At 42.0% G+C, this 15,242-nt stretch overlaps 1 protein-coding gene and 1 long non-coding RNA gene across 22 annotated transcripts in view; one reads left to right on the top strand and one right to left on the bottom strand.

The window, feature by feature from the left end:
- The window catches only part of CPVL (carboxypeptidase vitellogenic like), a 200,816-nt gene that overhangs the window by 100,870 nt on the left and 84,704 nt on the right, over positions 1 to 15,242 (top strand). For all 21 annotated transcript variants that reach the window (NM_001371268.1, NM_001371258.1, NM_001371256.1 and 18 more), the window contains 2 exons: positions 1,880 to 1,959; positions 8,032 to 8,098. In NM_001371268.1, the coding sequence (NP_001358197.1) occupies positions 1,880 to 1,959; positions 8,032 to 8,098 (147 nt within the window). The remainder of the gene's footprint in view (positions 1 to 1,879; positions 1,960 to 8,031; positions 8,099 to 15,242) is intronic.
- Positions 12,034 to 14,298, bottom strand: CPVL-AS1 (CPVL antisense RNA 1). Its single transcript, XR_001744918.2, has 3 exons — positions 14,254 to 14,298; positions 13,104 to 13,241; positions 12,034 to 12,260 (listed from the first exon to the last, which is right to left on the bottom strand). It is a non-coding gene; the product is annotated as a CPVL antisense RNA 1 (long non-coding RNA).

Raw genomic sequence — 15,242 nt, 5'->3', positions numbered from 1 at the left:
AGCCACCACGCCTGGCCCATTTCCTTATTTTTAATCCTATGAGATGTCCTGTTCACTGAATTAGGTAACCCAGGAGGAGGAATTCATTTCTTTTCACTAACAGTTTGGGTTCCTTATATCACAGGTTATTATATAGTGTCAGAACTTGTAATCTTTCACAATCGTCTAATCTTTCACATAGAGTTATAGATATAAAAAGTCAAAATGGGTCTCCACTTTTTTTTTTTAATTTTTATTTTTTTGAGATGAATCTCACTCTGTCACCCAGACTGGAGTGCAGTTGCACCATCTCAGCTCACTGCAACCTCCACTTCCCAGGTTGAAGCAATTCTCCTGCCTCAGCCTCCTGAATAGCTGGGATTACAGACTTGCGCCACCATGCCTGGCTAACTTTTGTATTTTTAGTAGAGATGGGATTTCACCATGTTGGCCAGGCTGGTCTTGAACTCCTGACCTCAAGTGATCCGCCCACCTCAGCCTCCCAAAGTGCTGGGATTATAGGCATGAGCTACTGCTCTTGGCCTCCTTCACTTGTTAAGACAAGCAACATGCTTCATCTCTGGACAAAAAGTGATACTCTCCTTGGGGAGGTCTTCTGATATTGGTTCTATTAAGGTGCAAAATAGGAGAGAAACTTAGGGTCAGCTTCTACAGATTTGGAGTATCTTTGCCCTCTTAACTAAAATCTTTAACTTCTCTCACTTTTCAGATGGTCCAAAAGAACACAAATAAAAGCGGAAAAAAATGTCAACATGCTCTTTCCCCCACCTTGTTTTGTCAGCCTTCCATTTTCCTCATCCATAACTGTGTATTTAAGTAAAAGATGAATTAAACATCCTTGGGTGTTTGGAAAACAAAAACACAAAAATCTTTATACCAGATAGGGAGTGCATTCCTTATGCAAATTGTTGACATAAAAATAGTAGCTTCTTCTTTTGAATTTGCAGTTCAGTTTCTTTTGAATTTGCAGTTCAGTTGTCTGTGAACTTCTAGGTTCTAATAAGAAAATATTAGTTTAAAATTAGTCTTAATTATGTTAAAACTCCTTACCTACTGAAGATGAAATGGCTTAATGGCCATATTTCTTGCAAATAAAGACAAGAAGGGGGAGGAGGAGGAGGAAGAAGAAGAAGAGGAAGACAATGTACAACTACCTTTTTCTTCAGCCTAAAGAGTTTCTTTCTTTTTTTTTTTTTTTTTTTTTGGAGACGGAGTCTCGCTTGGTCACCCAGGCTGGAATGCAGTGGCATGATCTCAGCTCACTGCAATCTCCGCCTCCTGGGCTCAGGTGATTCTTATGCCTCAGCCTCCTGAGTAGCTGGGATTACAGGTGCCCGCCATCATGCCCGGCTAATTTTCGTATTTTTAGTAGAAACGGGGTTTCGCCAGGCTGGTCTCAAACTCCTGACCTCAGGTGTTCCGCCCGCCTCAGCCTCCCAAAGTGCTGGGATTACAGAAGTGAGCCACTGCGCCAACCAAGAGTTTCTTCTTGGCAGGACAGAGCCATGCACTCTCCAGGTTTCAGAGAGGAGACAACTTTGGATCTTTTGATACTGTAGCAGGGGATGGAAAAGATGAATCCTTCTTCCTTAAATCAACATCTGGCAGGGTCTCCACTGAGGCACAGGACAGCTCAGCCACTGACCCCAGGGCAAAGCTCTGTGTTGCTGTTTTATTTGGGCTTTAGGGGGTGGAGAGAATAGGTGGCACCTAGCATCCTCCTGGGAGGAGGGCTAAAGGCATAGGGGGGCAACGGCAAAAATCTGAAGTCTGAGCTTGGCCTTTGGAACAAGGTCACCTTCCAGTGTGGGACCTCTCTGCAGGTCCCTAAGGCATGTGTTTCTCTGTGTTTATACCTGCGTGTTTATTTCTCCTGCAGGTGGGCACAGGCTTCAGTTTTACTGATGATACCCACGGATATGCAGTCAATGAGGACGATGTAGCACGGGATTTATACAGGTAAAATGCTCCTGCTTTCTCTTGGCTTTCCTAAGACCAAACATTTTTCTATCTCAATAGGAAAATTATTCTAGTGTTGGAATTTTTATTGACTGAGCCTTATAGTCCAATTCCTGAAGATAATTTAAGGATATTTTCACATCCACACACACAGAGCAGAATTTTTCAATTAAAGATTATTTTTTAAACCTTTCAACCAGACATCTGAAAGGTTTCTACTTGTTTTCCAAATTTGTATTTAACTTTGCATTTGCAGGGAGACAACATCTTTTCAGATATTTGTTTGTTTCTCAGGATTCTTCTTTTCGTGGCTTTTGGATGCAATTTTTTACTTTTTGCTTCTATTTCATGACTTTTCCAGGCTGAAAACTTAGCTTGTTAGTCTCTAGTATTCTCTCTTCTTCTTATGAAAGTTTTGTTTTGCTTAAAAAAAAAAAAAAAAGGAAAAATGTAAAGTTGTAAGTCTGGCCAAACAGTGTCCATATAATTTCTCCCTTTTTTCACTCATATTAATCATTGCTATTTTTAGCATTTTTAAAAAAAAGCAAGTGACCTTTCTTATTTGGTCAGATTTTTCCAGTCTACAAATTATTACTAGAGACCAAGTCCTAGATTCTTTCTGGTCACTAGGGCACCGCTTTATGTATTATAATAATTTACTAAAAGAACCCTAGTGGCCAGAAGGAGTTAACTAGCTCCCTACCCCACACCTCCACCAAGCACTCTGTTAATTACTACCAATCCTCAAAGCGAAAGTGCATCTAATAGGAGTCAGAGTTTGCTGATCTCTGACAAAAGCTTTCCGTTTTACTTTTCTTTCTCTCTGAGGCAGATAGGTGGCCGGGGGGAGAGAAGAAAGAACTACTTCCAAGCCCCTTTCCCAAAGATCTCTCCCTCTGCCCACCCAGAAAAGAATATGGCTGTTGTCTTCTCCACTTTTGTTTGTTTTTCACATGTTCCATGATTCGATCACTTCTATTCAGTTTCTAGGGGGATGCCCAGGGCCCCACACTTCTGCTTCCACATACAGTGGGGTCCTAGGGACATATTTGCCAAGATGCTGACGGGGTGTTCCCCCCAGCACCTCCTCCCCTTCCCTCCACAGACGTAACGGACGGCAGTCCTCCTCACAGGCTTCTTCAGAGCCAGGGCCAGGGCTCTCTTGGCACTGTGTGCTCTCTTTCTTCAGATTAGAAACCTACTCCCCGCCCCCACCTCCCATCCCTCTTTGGTTTAAATCCAAACAAGCTCAGTGGTTAACTAGCAAACACCCTGAGGGCAGAGGTTCTGTATTGAAGAGATGCATCGGGCCCCCTCTAAGACAGAGCATCACTGCCAAGCCGTTTCTGTCTTTCCTTCCCCTCCCCCAAAGACAGTTACAGCTTCCAGTTGCCCCTCCATATGGGGATGTCGACTGCTGACATGTGGTCCATCTCCTCTTTCCTGACATGTAAAGGGAACCTATTTCAAAGCATCTATTGTTTATAGCTGTTGTAGTTCTTTTTGCTTCGGGCTCTTAGAACTGGAAAATAGCTAATCAAGGGTGGTGCAGAAAACTGATTTCAGCTGTTTCCTTTATAGTTTACACTATTCATTTCCCTTTGTGACCACATTCTTCTCTCCAGCTCTCCAGATGGGTGTTTGGAATAAGAGGGTCGCTTCAAAACCTGCAAATGGGCTACTACAGGTTTAAAGAGTGGAGCTTTCATTTTCTCCCTTTGAAAACCAACTTTCTTTTTTCAGAAAATCTCATTCTTTTTGACTATTAATAGTGCATGGCTGTAAGGAGACATTTACCGTTCACAGTTTTGCTGCTTTTGTGTTTGGAAATAAAACTTTTTCACGAACAAGATGTTAAAATACTCTCCCACTTTTCTTATTTGGAATATGCTATTTAGTCACAATGCCTCTCTGGTTTAAAACAAATTATGAAATGTATTAACTTTGATTTGGAGTACACTAGCTGGTGCCAATCTCCTTCTGCCATTGTTTACCAATTGCCTATTATGTGCCAGCTGCTGTTCTTGGTGCTGGTGAGACAGTAGTAAGCAGTCCTCAAACCCCCTGCCCTCCTGGTGCTCAGTCTAGTGGTGGACCTATAGTTATTTTCTTAGCAGCCAAATGGAAGTGCTGCTATAGTTTTCTCCTACATGTTGGTTTGCAATGGGAAATGATATGTAGTGTTGCTAAACAAAGCTTCATAGCAATGCAGCTAGGAAGCAGGCTTCCTATATTAAATGAGAAAACTCTGTGTCCTGTGCCAGGTGGAGAGGATCATGGCTCAGCCTTGCTAGATGTAGAGTGAATGCAGAAGAGGCTCCCTTCACGGGTTCCAACAGAGCAGCACTGCCAGGATTCCTGTTGCTGAGCTTGTATCGGTCCAGTGCAAGGCAGATGAGCCCCAAAGTGGGGCTTAGCCTGTGAGGGGTTTTGGATTTGCCCAGGAAAGAATTCAAGGGTGGCCAGGTGTGGTGGCTCACACCTGTAATCCCAGCACTTTGGGAGGCCGAGGCAGGCAGATCACCTGAGGTCAGGAGTTCCAGACCAGCCTGACCAACATGGAGAAACCCCATCTCTACTAAAAATAGAAAAATTAGCTGGGCTTGGTGGTGCATGCCTGTAATCCCAGCTACTTGGGAGGCTGAGGCAGGAGAATCACTTGAACCTGGGAGGCAGAGGTTGTGGTGAGCCGAGATCACACCACTGCACTGCAGCCTGGGCAACAAGAGCGAAACTCCATCTCAATTAAAAAAAAAAAAAAAGAATTCAATGGTGAGATGGAGGTAGAAGAAAATAGCTTTATTGAAGGGGCAGTGTTACAACTCCGTGTCTGCTCCTGCAGGGCTACTGCCTAGTCCGAGTAGCAGCTTAGGGCAATTTTGCAGTTGTATTTAAACCCACTTTTAATTACATGCAGATTAAGGGTTGGTTCATGCAGAATTTTCTAGGGAATGGATGGTAGCTTTTGAGTCTTTGGGTCATTGCCATGGAAAGGGGTGGTAACGCCTGGGTGTTGCCATCACAATGGTAAACTGACATGGCCCACTGATAGGCATGTCTTATGGAAAGCTGCTTCCGCCCAGGCCCTGTCTTAGCTAGTCCTCAATTTGATCCAGTGTCCAAGCCCTACCTTTGTAGTTGAGTCCCACCTCTTACCTCAAGTCCACTGCCAGTGACTGTAGGTACACTTTGCTTGGCTTTTTTGGCATGGAACTTTTGCTTAGATTATCTGAAACTCGATTATCCTGAATGTTGCTTGTGTTTATGATTATGCTTCTGACTCTATTAGAACTGACCAGATTCCAGTGCTGTCTTTGGGTCTACAATGCATGATCATGTCCACTCACCTTTTCTGCCCTGCATCCACCCAATCTCTGTTTAAAAACTTATCTGAGGAATAATTTTCTCCTAGTCATTCTTCCTTGCAATCTGTTTCTCTTTTTGGTCCTTTAAGGTACCTTTCTGCGAGCAGAGAGCCCTTAACTAAAATTCTGTTTATGAGACAAGTCCTTAGCACAATGCCAGCAAGGTGGCCAAATGGAATCACCAAGAAGAAGCATGCTTCTTGTGCCATGTAGCTCTTGTACCTGAATAAATGCATGGAGTGTGCACTTGTGAACACACATGCTTATGTATTATTATTATTATTGAGACGGAGTCTCACTATGTCGCCAGGCTGGAGTGCAGTGGCGTGATCTCGGCTCACTGCCACCTCTGCCTCCCAGGTTCAAGCAATTCTCCTGCCTCAGCCTCCTGAGTAGCTGGGACTACAGGCGCCCACCACCACACCCAGATAATTTTTGTATTTTTAGTAGAAACGGGGTTTCACCACGTTGGCCAGAATGGTCTCAATCTCTTGACCTCGTGATCTGCCCGCCTCGGCCTCCCACAGGTGTGAGCCACCGCGCCCGGCCACTTATGTATTATATATATGTTTAGCAGATCTGCTTCTAAAATTTGTAATTTCATGTGGGCTTGATTCTAGATTCTATTTTCTAGAAAATGCTCACCATGTAATAAGAAGAGTTCTTGACTAAAATACAGTTAAATGAGCAAATGGCATATGTAAATCTAATTTACTAAATTTACTTTTTTCATTCTTCACTCTCTTTTAAGAAACAGGAGTGCTACCACGCTACTAAGTGCTTGCTTAAAAAAAAATAGCCAGTTTTTTGGCTGTGAAATAAAAACTGAAATTGAAACTCGATGATAACTTCCTCAAGTGGAACTTGAGCTGGAGAATCCTGCCATTTTCGAGATAGAAGTAACCTGGGAGATTATCTCTGACCAAGATTATCAGATAAAACACAAAATACCCAGTTAAATTTGAATTTCAGGTAAACAACAAATAAAATTTTAATGTAAGTATATTCCATGCAATATTTGGGACATACTTATACTAAGCCATTATTTGTTATCTGAAATTCAAAATTAAGCCATGTCTTATGTTTTCATTTGCTAAATCCAGCAACCCTAATGACTCTCCAGCAAATACTACAAGGAAATAAGCTTTAAGCTAAAGCCAAAGGCTTAATTGAGATTTACTATGCTAAATTATCTCCTGCCATTCCAACAAGCAGGAAGAGAGAAAAGGAAGTAGATTTTAGCCTGAAGGTTGGAGAGGGAAGGGTGGAGAATGAATGCCTATTTTTATCTGCACTCTAAAGCCAGCTTATTGCCAGCACAAACATAGAAGCTATAAAATGCAGCTTCTCAGATTTAGTTGCTACAAAGGCCACTATAAATAATGAATACAGAAATACACCGAAACTCTACAGTAGTGTTTCATGGTGAATTTTTATGCAGCCTTTGAAAATTAAATATAGCTAGGATCATGGTGATTGTAATGACCCAATTTTGCCTCTTTGTAACCCTTGAACTTCGCCATCCTCCTGGGTTTTCAGAGCCTCCTTGCCTTTCATCTTCCTGGATGGTTCATGGCTTTTAGTCTCTCAGCAGGAAACTGGGCCAACAACCTCCCCTAGCTTCGCAGGCACTGCAGTCTGGGTCAAAACACTCATAGAGCTACTGAGTTTCACAAGTTTTTGTTTTCCTTTTTTTGAAATATTTTGTTCAGGTAAAGAATCATTTAAAAATCCACTGTCTTCTTGCTTATTATGAAATCACTCCTTGAGTCTGTTAAAATCTATTTCATCACTGAAGTGGCTATTGGCATTCTTTTTTTTTTTTTTTTTTTTTGAGACAGAGTCTTACTCTGTTGCCCAGGCTGGAGTGCAATGGCGCAATCTCAGCTCACTGCAACCTCAGCCTCCCTGGTTGAAGTGATTCTTCTGTCTCAGCCTCCTGAGTAGCTGGGACTACAGGCGCGCACCACCATGCCTGGCTAATTTTTGTATTTTTAGTAGAGATGGGGTTTCACTATGTTGGCTAGGCTGGTCTCGAACTCCTGACCTCGTTATCCGCCCACCTTAGCCTCCCAAAGTCCTGGTATTATAGGCATGAGCCACCGCCCTGGCCGGCTGTTAGCATTCTTTAGTAAATGTGTTTTTCTTTTTTTTAGCCCAGAGCCTACTGTACATTTATTTCAATATCTGTGACCATTTGCTGTTTTTCTTTTAAATTATAGTCATCTTACAGTTTTTCTGTTCTTTGGTTATTAAAATGTGGCATTCTTGGAGCTCCATCAGAAATGTTCAGAGTCCCCCACAGTGGGGGTTGGTAAGCAACTAAGACTTCCCTTACTTCACCACAAACCCGGGCTAATGGGATCATAAAGTTTGCAGAACTACCTCCAAGAATTGCTACGTAACATGTGAAACCTGTATTATTTGCTCAAGGTGCCCTCAACAGTTAGATGATCCAAACTGGTATATCAGTAATTTGGAAACATGCCCAGAGTATTGATGTCCACTTGTCCAAACTTCTTATTATCACAAAGTAAGCCCACATGTATTGTGTAAATAAAATGTCCTACAGGAGCTCATAGCAGAGTGGTATCTTATTTCAAGTGTGAAACCTATTGCCAAAGAGTTAGATTTGATATCCTAGCATGAAGAGATCCTGAATCATTTTTCTGATTAATTTGTGTTGTTCTTGTTCTTCTTTTTGCAGTGCACTAATTCAGTTTTTCCAGATATTTCCTGAATATAAAAATAATGACTTTTATGTCACTGGGGAGGTAAGTAGAAGTCACGTTTCCTTGTGTGCTTCAAACATCACCAGAACTGACATATATTATGAGTGTAGTTTGTTCATTTAAAATCTATATATGTATATACATGTACACATACATATCAATATTGATTCAGCCTTTATTCAAAATTCTCCCAATTATCAAAATGCCCTTCATATATATATATATTTTTTTTTAGTTGGAGTTTTGCTCTTGTTGCCAAGGGCTGGAGTGCAGTGGCGTGATCTCGGCTCACTGCAACCTGCGCCTCCTGGGTTCAAGCAATTCTCCTGCCTCAGCCTCCTGAGTAGCTGAGATTACAGGCGCCTGCCACCATGCACGGCTAATTTTTGTATTTTTAGTAGAGATGGGGTTTCACCATGTTGGCCAGGCTGGTCTTGAACTCCTGACCTCATGATCTGCCCGCCTCGGCCTCCCAAAGTGCTGGGATTACAGGCATGAGCCACCATGCCCAGCCCTTTCATAACATTTTTTAAATCCCAGGGCCCAATGCATGCTCACATATTACCATGGGTGCACTAGGTAGGCTCAGTCATCTGCCTTGTTTGTTGTCCTCATCATTCATGATGATGATTTGAAGAGTCCAGGCCAGGTGCTTTGTAGAATGTCCCATTTTCTGAATTTGTCTGATTTTTTCCTCAGTGCTTAGGTTATGTCAAAACATTTGAGCAAGATCATTACATAGATGGTGTGTACTTTCTGGTGTGTCACATCAGGAGGCACATGAAGTCAGTTTGTCCCACTGTTGGTGATGCTAAACTGGATCACTGCGTCAAGGTGGTGTCTGCCAGATCTTGCCATTGTGAAGGCACCTGTTTATGTTTGTAATTAACTCATAATTAAAGACCATTCAAACACTGTTTCCTCAAAAAATGCCATCCAGTAGTTTTAGCATCCACTGATCTCTGTCTGAATCAGTTATTACACTGGGGGTGATAAAATGGTGATTTTTCTAATGTATCTTTCTGTGGATATCACCTGGCATTCTTCCATAGGGAAGATTTTTCCCTTTTCCTCCTATTACTTACATTTAAAAATAGTACTGTGGATTCACAGATTGTTATTTCTATTTGATCTGTTAAAATTTGTTTTTTATTTTTGATGTTTACATTGCTTTAAATTTGGTCACTGGGAACCCCTTCAGTTGGCTCCTGTGCCCTTTTGACCGGTCCCCATTAGCCTCCAAGCATGTCCTTGCTTTTTGACACAAAGGTGTGTTCCAGAAGCATCTTGTACTTCTTGTACTTTCCCTGCCCTAGCCTTGGAATCAGTCAGTTCTTCACAGAATGCTGTTTCTTTTTCCTGGGGAATGGCATTTAAAAAGCAAGTGCTAAGCACTAAGTGGCCCATTGCTGCTGGGATGTCATTGCTTTTAGACAGTCTGTGGGCAGAGCTAGGAAACAAAATGACTTCATACTGATACCCATAATTCTAATTCCATACCACAAGGTTCTCTTCTCTTTTCTCTGTTCTGTATTTTTTTACCCCTTCTCCCACATTGAGGGCTGTGGTTCCTAATGGCATCAGTGTGTTTCCTCTTTTGATTGCTTTTACAATATGCCCAATATGGTTTCAGAATTACTACATGTGTACCATTACCAACAAGAAACATCAAAATTACTTTTAATATTTTTTGCTGCAATGATTTTTATCCTTAAATTGTATCTCACTACACACCTATAATCAAAGTACTGTGTTTAAAAGTTAAAAGAATTCTATTTTTTAAGGGAGATTATGTTAAAATTTAATACACAGTTACATTCATTTGTCTATGTTGGTTTCAGTTTTAGGGTTTGCTTTTTTCATCCTTTTTAAGATTATTTTAAAAATGTGTACCAGCCAATCATTTGAGAACACAGGTGCAGTTCTAGGTGCTAGGAACATAATGGTGAATAACACTGAAAAACAACAAAAAAATCCATGCCCTACATTCTAGAGAGGTAGGCAGTGATAACTAAAATATGTGCTAGGTACCACCATCAGGCAGGGACAAGTGTCATGAAAGGATGCAGTAGGGCAAGGGCTGGAGAGTGAAGGAGGTGCTATTTTGGATAAGATTGTCTGACGAGATAATGAGCAGAACCCTGAATGATGTGGTGGGGTAATTTCTGCAGTATCTGTAAGAAGAGCTTTCCTGGCAGAAGGAACAATGAATGCAAAGACTCTCCAGTGGGGACAGGCTTGGCAGGTTCAAGGAAAAGCACAGAGCTGCTGTGGTAGGAGCTGAGCAGAAAGAGGCCAGTGGATCCTGCAGGGCCCGGCTGCCTGTGGCAGAGTTTGGACTTTATTCTAACGGTAATGGGAAACCATTGAGGGTCCAGTGTTCACTGAAAGAACATTTAGAATTGAATTCAACTGAGCACAGATATATTGAGTATCTGCTATGTTTGAGGCACTGGACAAATATTAGGAATTCAGTGATTTATGAGATATTGACTCTGCCCTAAATCTGAAGGTCGAATAATTACAATACAGATGAAAGGCACAATTAGAGAAATATTATCTCTGATCCACGAGTCTTGAAAAAAGAAAAAAAAAGGAAAAAATTAGACAAGTAACTGTAAAGACTAATAGCCCCAGGAAAGGTACCAGTAGCTACCTCAGTGTGGGATCCTCAGGAAAGGCCAAGCAGAGGAGGTGACAATTAAACCGGGTTTTGAAGGATAAATAAGGGTGTGTTAGTTAAGGCTCTTGGTTGCAAGTGACAGAAACCCTATTTAAAGCAGCTTTAGTGAAACAGGGCATTGATTGATTTAACGTCAGGTGTGGCTGGACCTGGGTGCCCTTACTTTGTCATCAGGATTCTGCCTGTCATTCTTTCCTGATCTATGTACTTGGCTTTGTACTTTTCTGGTTTCATTCTCAGGCAAGTTCTTTTCATGTGGTACTCCTGCTTCTCCATCCATCCCAGGGCAGGTATAGCCTATCCATTCAACTTCCCTTTCCCAGTAATTCCAGCCCTCCAGATTCCTGAATCTCAGATGATCCACTTGGATCCCATGCCTATCCTAGAACCACCAGCTGGACCCAGGTGGTTGGAATATACAAATTGGCCAGAATGGTGCCTGAGGCCCACTCCACACCCTGGGAGGGTAGGGACCAGGATGGGGGGCCCTCACACTCTGAATCATAAGGCCTGAGAGTTGGAAATGAGTGGTCTCCAGAGGAAGATCCAAGTGATGATGCCAGAGGAAGGGCTGTAAAGATGCTGGCAAGCACATCTGCAATGTCCACCTTCAGCGAGGGAAAGAGAAAAATGGTCCGAGTTTTTCCATGGGAATGGCAAGTAACTGGAACTAGCAACTTCTCTCTTTCTTCTCTTTATAAGCTATTTGGAAGGGATGTTCTGACTGATTAGCATACTACACTTTAGGTTTTTTTAAGCCAGTTATGCAGTCAGGACAACTTAGAACCTCTCCTGGTAATTTCTGCCTGTTCCTTGTCTTTTAACCAATTTCAGAGCCAGGTTAGGGAAGTGAATAGGAAGTGACACTCCCATTATTTGGCAACAACCCTGGAAAATGCCCATTCTCCACCTCCCACAGAAGAGTGGTCTACTTCGTGTGTAATGCCTTGTCTTGGAAATAATGTGGTGATGTTGTTAACCATGATGTTGATGTTGATACAAACCATGATGTTTGGCAAAACTGCCAAATCCCAGATGAAAAATTTGACTTGGTTATTTCACATCTGCCTTGTGGTTTTATGCATATAATTTCCTAATGTGTGTAGAAAAGGACAGTTTTCTTTTTACCTTCCTTGCTGCCAGGATGAATACTTTTAAGGAAACCTGTGCCTTCTGAGTGGTGAAGGAAGATGTGAGGTAGAGATGCCATTGTCAGGAGATATCATCCTCCCCGAACTACATGGGATACGTTCAGTCTGGGGGCACTGCTCTTTTCAGAAGAAAAAACACTAAATAATGATGCCTTGATGGTTTATTATGAATATTAGAATATTATGAATATTTATTCAGTCTAGTTTGTCCCATCTGGGTTGTCTTCTGTTTTAAGGCCATGTGGCAGAAAAGAGAAGTGGAAGGCGTTCTGGATTAATCATTTGGAGACCTGGGATTCAGGGCTGGCTTTGCTCCTCCCTGGATGATTTCAGAAAAGTCTTTCAGCCTCCCTGGGCCTCTGCTTTTCATCTAACAATCAGATGAGTTGTTAAACTAGATCACTTCCAGGGATATTTTGCTTTACTAGAAAGTTCAAATTCAGTTATCTAGACTCACTCTTTAAGTATCTGTATGTAATTGCAGTTTTAACGTAATACCTACCCATTTTCCCTCTCGCTGCTGCCACCACACAAAAAAAAATTGTTCTAGATTTTTCAAGAAAGAAAATTCCTTTCTCTTCTAAACTCTTAATTTTCTCACACTCTTAGGAAAGCTGAATAGTGCTGCTGAGTTTGTAGAGCCATCTTCAAAAAATAAATGCACAAATTCAGAAATGGTTTTCTGCTTTTCAATGTAAATGCACCAGACCTAAATATCTTCACATTTGTGTGCTATGAATGAGAGGAGCCTGATGCTCAAGGGGTCTGGAGCAGCTGTTCAGAACCTTGATTTGGTGTGAAGCAGTCTGGAAATAATAATAGTACCTACTGCATAGGGTTGTTTTGAGCATTTAATTAGATAACCCTCCTCAGATATTAGCATAGTGACTGGCTGTGGTGAGTACCCAACACATGATGACTATTATTACCATTCATGCTGAAAAGCTGGGCTAATATATTATGACTCCCAAGCATACAGCCTAATGCCTGGAGACAAGAGCTGAAGTGTTAATAGAAGCTCCGCTAACTCATTGCTGGGATATGGCATTTCCCCCTCTACTCTGTGTCTATTATTTTGAAATCATTTTTAAAAGCAATAGTTACTTTGTCTAAAAAAAAATGGAGCTTAGCAGTTGACATTAGAAGTTGTGCTTGTTTTTTATATGGACAGCAGCAAAATGTGTCAGGACCCACCCCAGGCTCCCTGCCTCACCGTGTGGACGATGGTGTGGCCACACCAGAGAAAGTGGCGTGGGCCTGCCCTCAGTGCAAAGGAAAGGGGAGAAGCTGCTTTGTCTTCTTCCTCCTCCTCTTCATTTCTGCCCAGAACACCAACTGGAATTAATTTTCTCTAAAAAGAGACAAATGTGTCTGTAAATCACCCTCCTCAAGGCATGAAAAAAACATACTTCAAAAAGAGAAATAAGCTGTGTTTAATTCCCATAATTAACTTTCTTTATAAGTGTTATCCTTTCTGAGCCAGTAGCTATTAGTGAGATTGCCCTTGTTCTTGAGGCACGGACACATTTAGCATCCTCTCAATTGTACATGAGCCCAGGTAGAAGTTAAAGCAAAACAGCCCTCACGGGAAGGCAGGTAGGTGACAGGATCAGGGGGACCGCCCATTGTTCTCTGAGCCTGTGGCTTTATGTGCCGCTCAAGGGAAAGAGTCAGTGCACGTGGGAGGTTGTGGCAGTGGATGGGAACGCTTCCAAACTAGCAGGGCATGTGGTTAAAACAGAACATCTCTTCTCCATCAGCAAAAACGGGCAGACTCTCTTTATAAACAGTTTTGCAACCATAATTTATTTGAGAACCCAATAGAGACAAAACTTTGAAGCTATTTAAAAATGAATTAGGGAGCTTAATGGGACACTTTATCTTCATCTGCATGGGTGAAGTCCCTGTTGGAAGTACAGTGTCTGACAACCTTTATTGAAATCATCATGGCCCATTGGGTTAGGTGGCAAGCTCCCAGTATGCGAGAGCCATGTTTGTTTCTTATTCAATACTAAGCACGGTGCTTAATGAATATTATAGAATGGAGTTCATGCATGGCTGCCTTTAGATAAAATAAAAATATTGATATTTATTTCCTGCATCTTTTCACCTACTTTTTTTTTTTTTTTTTTTTGAGACAAAGTGTCACTCTGATGCCTAAGCTGGAGTGCAGCATTGCCATCTCAGCTCACTGCACCCTCCAATTCCCGGGTTCAGGTGATTCTCCTGCCTCAGCCTCCCGAGTAGCTGGGATTACAGGCACGTGCCACCATGCCCGCCTAATTTTTGTATTTTTAGTAGAGATGGGGTTTCACTATGTTGGACAGGCTGGCCTTGAACTCCTGACTGGGTGATCTGCCTACCTCAGTCTCCCAAAGTGCTGAGATTACAGATGTAAGCCACTGCGCCCAGCCCCTTTCTTTTTTTAAAATTTTTATTTTAGGTTTGGGTGTACATGTGAAGGTTTGTTACATAGACAAACACGTGTCATAGGGGTTTGTTGTACATATTATTACATCACCCAGGTATTAAGCTCAGTACCCAATAGTGATCTTTTCTGCTCCTCTCGCCTCCCTTTCATTGCCCTTCTCTCCCTGTACTATGTCCCAGGCCCTGGGGACTCTCCTTTGGCCTCCGTTGTTTTCCAGGGCCATCTTCCCACCTCAGCCATCCTCTCCTCAGTCTATTGTGCACAGCTTCTATTTCTCCATGCTTCTTCCATCTGTATCATGATTGTTCTGTTTCTGTCCCCCATTCTGACTTGTTGTCAACTCATTGTTCCATAGAAAGGATCTGATAAATTAAACCCAATAGGGTGGACTCTCAACATGTTTGCATTTGAGTAGAGAGCAGAGCCTACCTGATGGGTAGATATTTGTAATAGGGTAATTTCAAGCACTAACATGCAAACAGAAGGGTGGCAACCAAGGTGGGGTGGGAGAGCGATTCTAGAAGTAGGCTTATAATTATTAGCATTCTATGTAAGCCTGTACCATCATCCTGTTAGCCTGGGCTTGGGATCATGTAATTTGATGGCTAGAAGTGATACTTCAAGAACATCTAGTTCATGTATTTTATCTGTAGATTTTACTAGAGAATATTTATTGAGAATGGACTGTATGGTAGACATCATGCTAAGCACTGTTTTATGCATTACCTCGTTTAATCCTAACAGCTGCCTTATGAAATAGGTGCTATGATTATTCTTCCCATTTTACAGGTGAGGTGACCGAGGCTTAGTGAGGTTAGGTATGCCTTACCAAGGTCACCCAGCCAGAAAGTGGAGGAGCCAGCATTGGAACCTAAGCAGTCAGACTCCAGGGCCTGAAGATGGTGGTGAAGAAATGAGCTA

This window comes from Homo sapiens, chromosome 7 (genome assembly GCF_000001405.40).
Source record: "Homo sapiens chromosome 7, GRCh38.p14 Primary Assembly".
NCBI classification, from domain to species: domain Eukaryota; kingdom Metazoa; phylum Chordata; class Mammalia; order Primates; family Hominidae; genus Homo; species Homo sapiens.
Note: the sequence above shows the minus strand (reverse complement) of the source record. Positions and strands in the feature narration are given on the sequence as shown.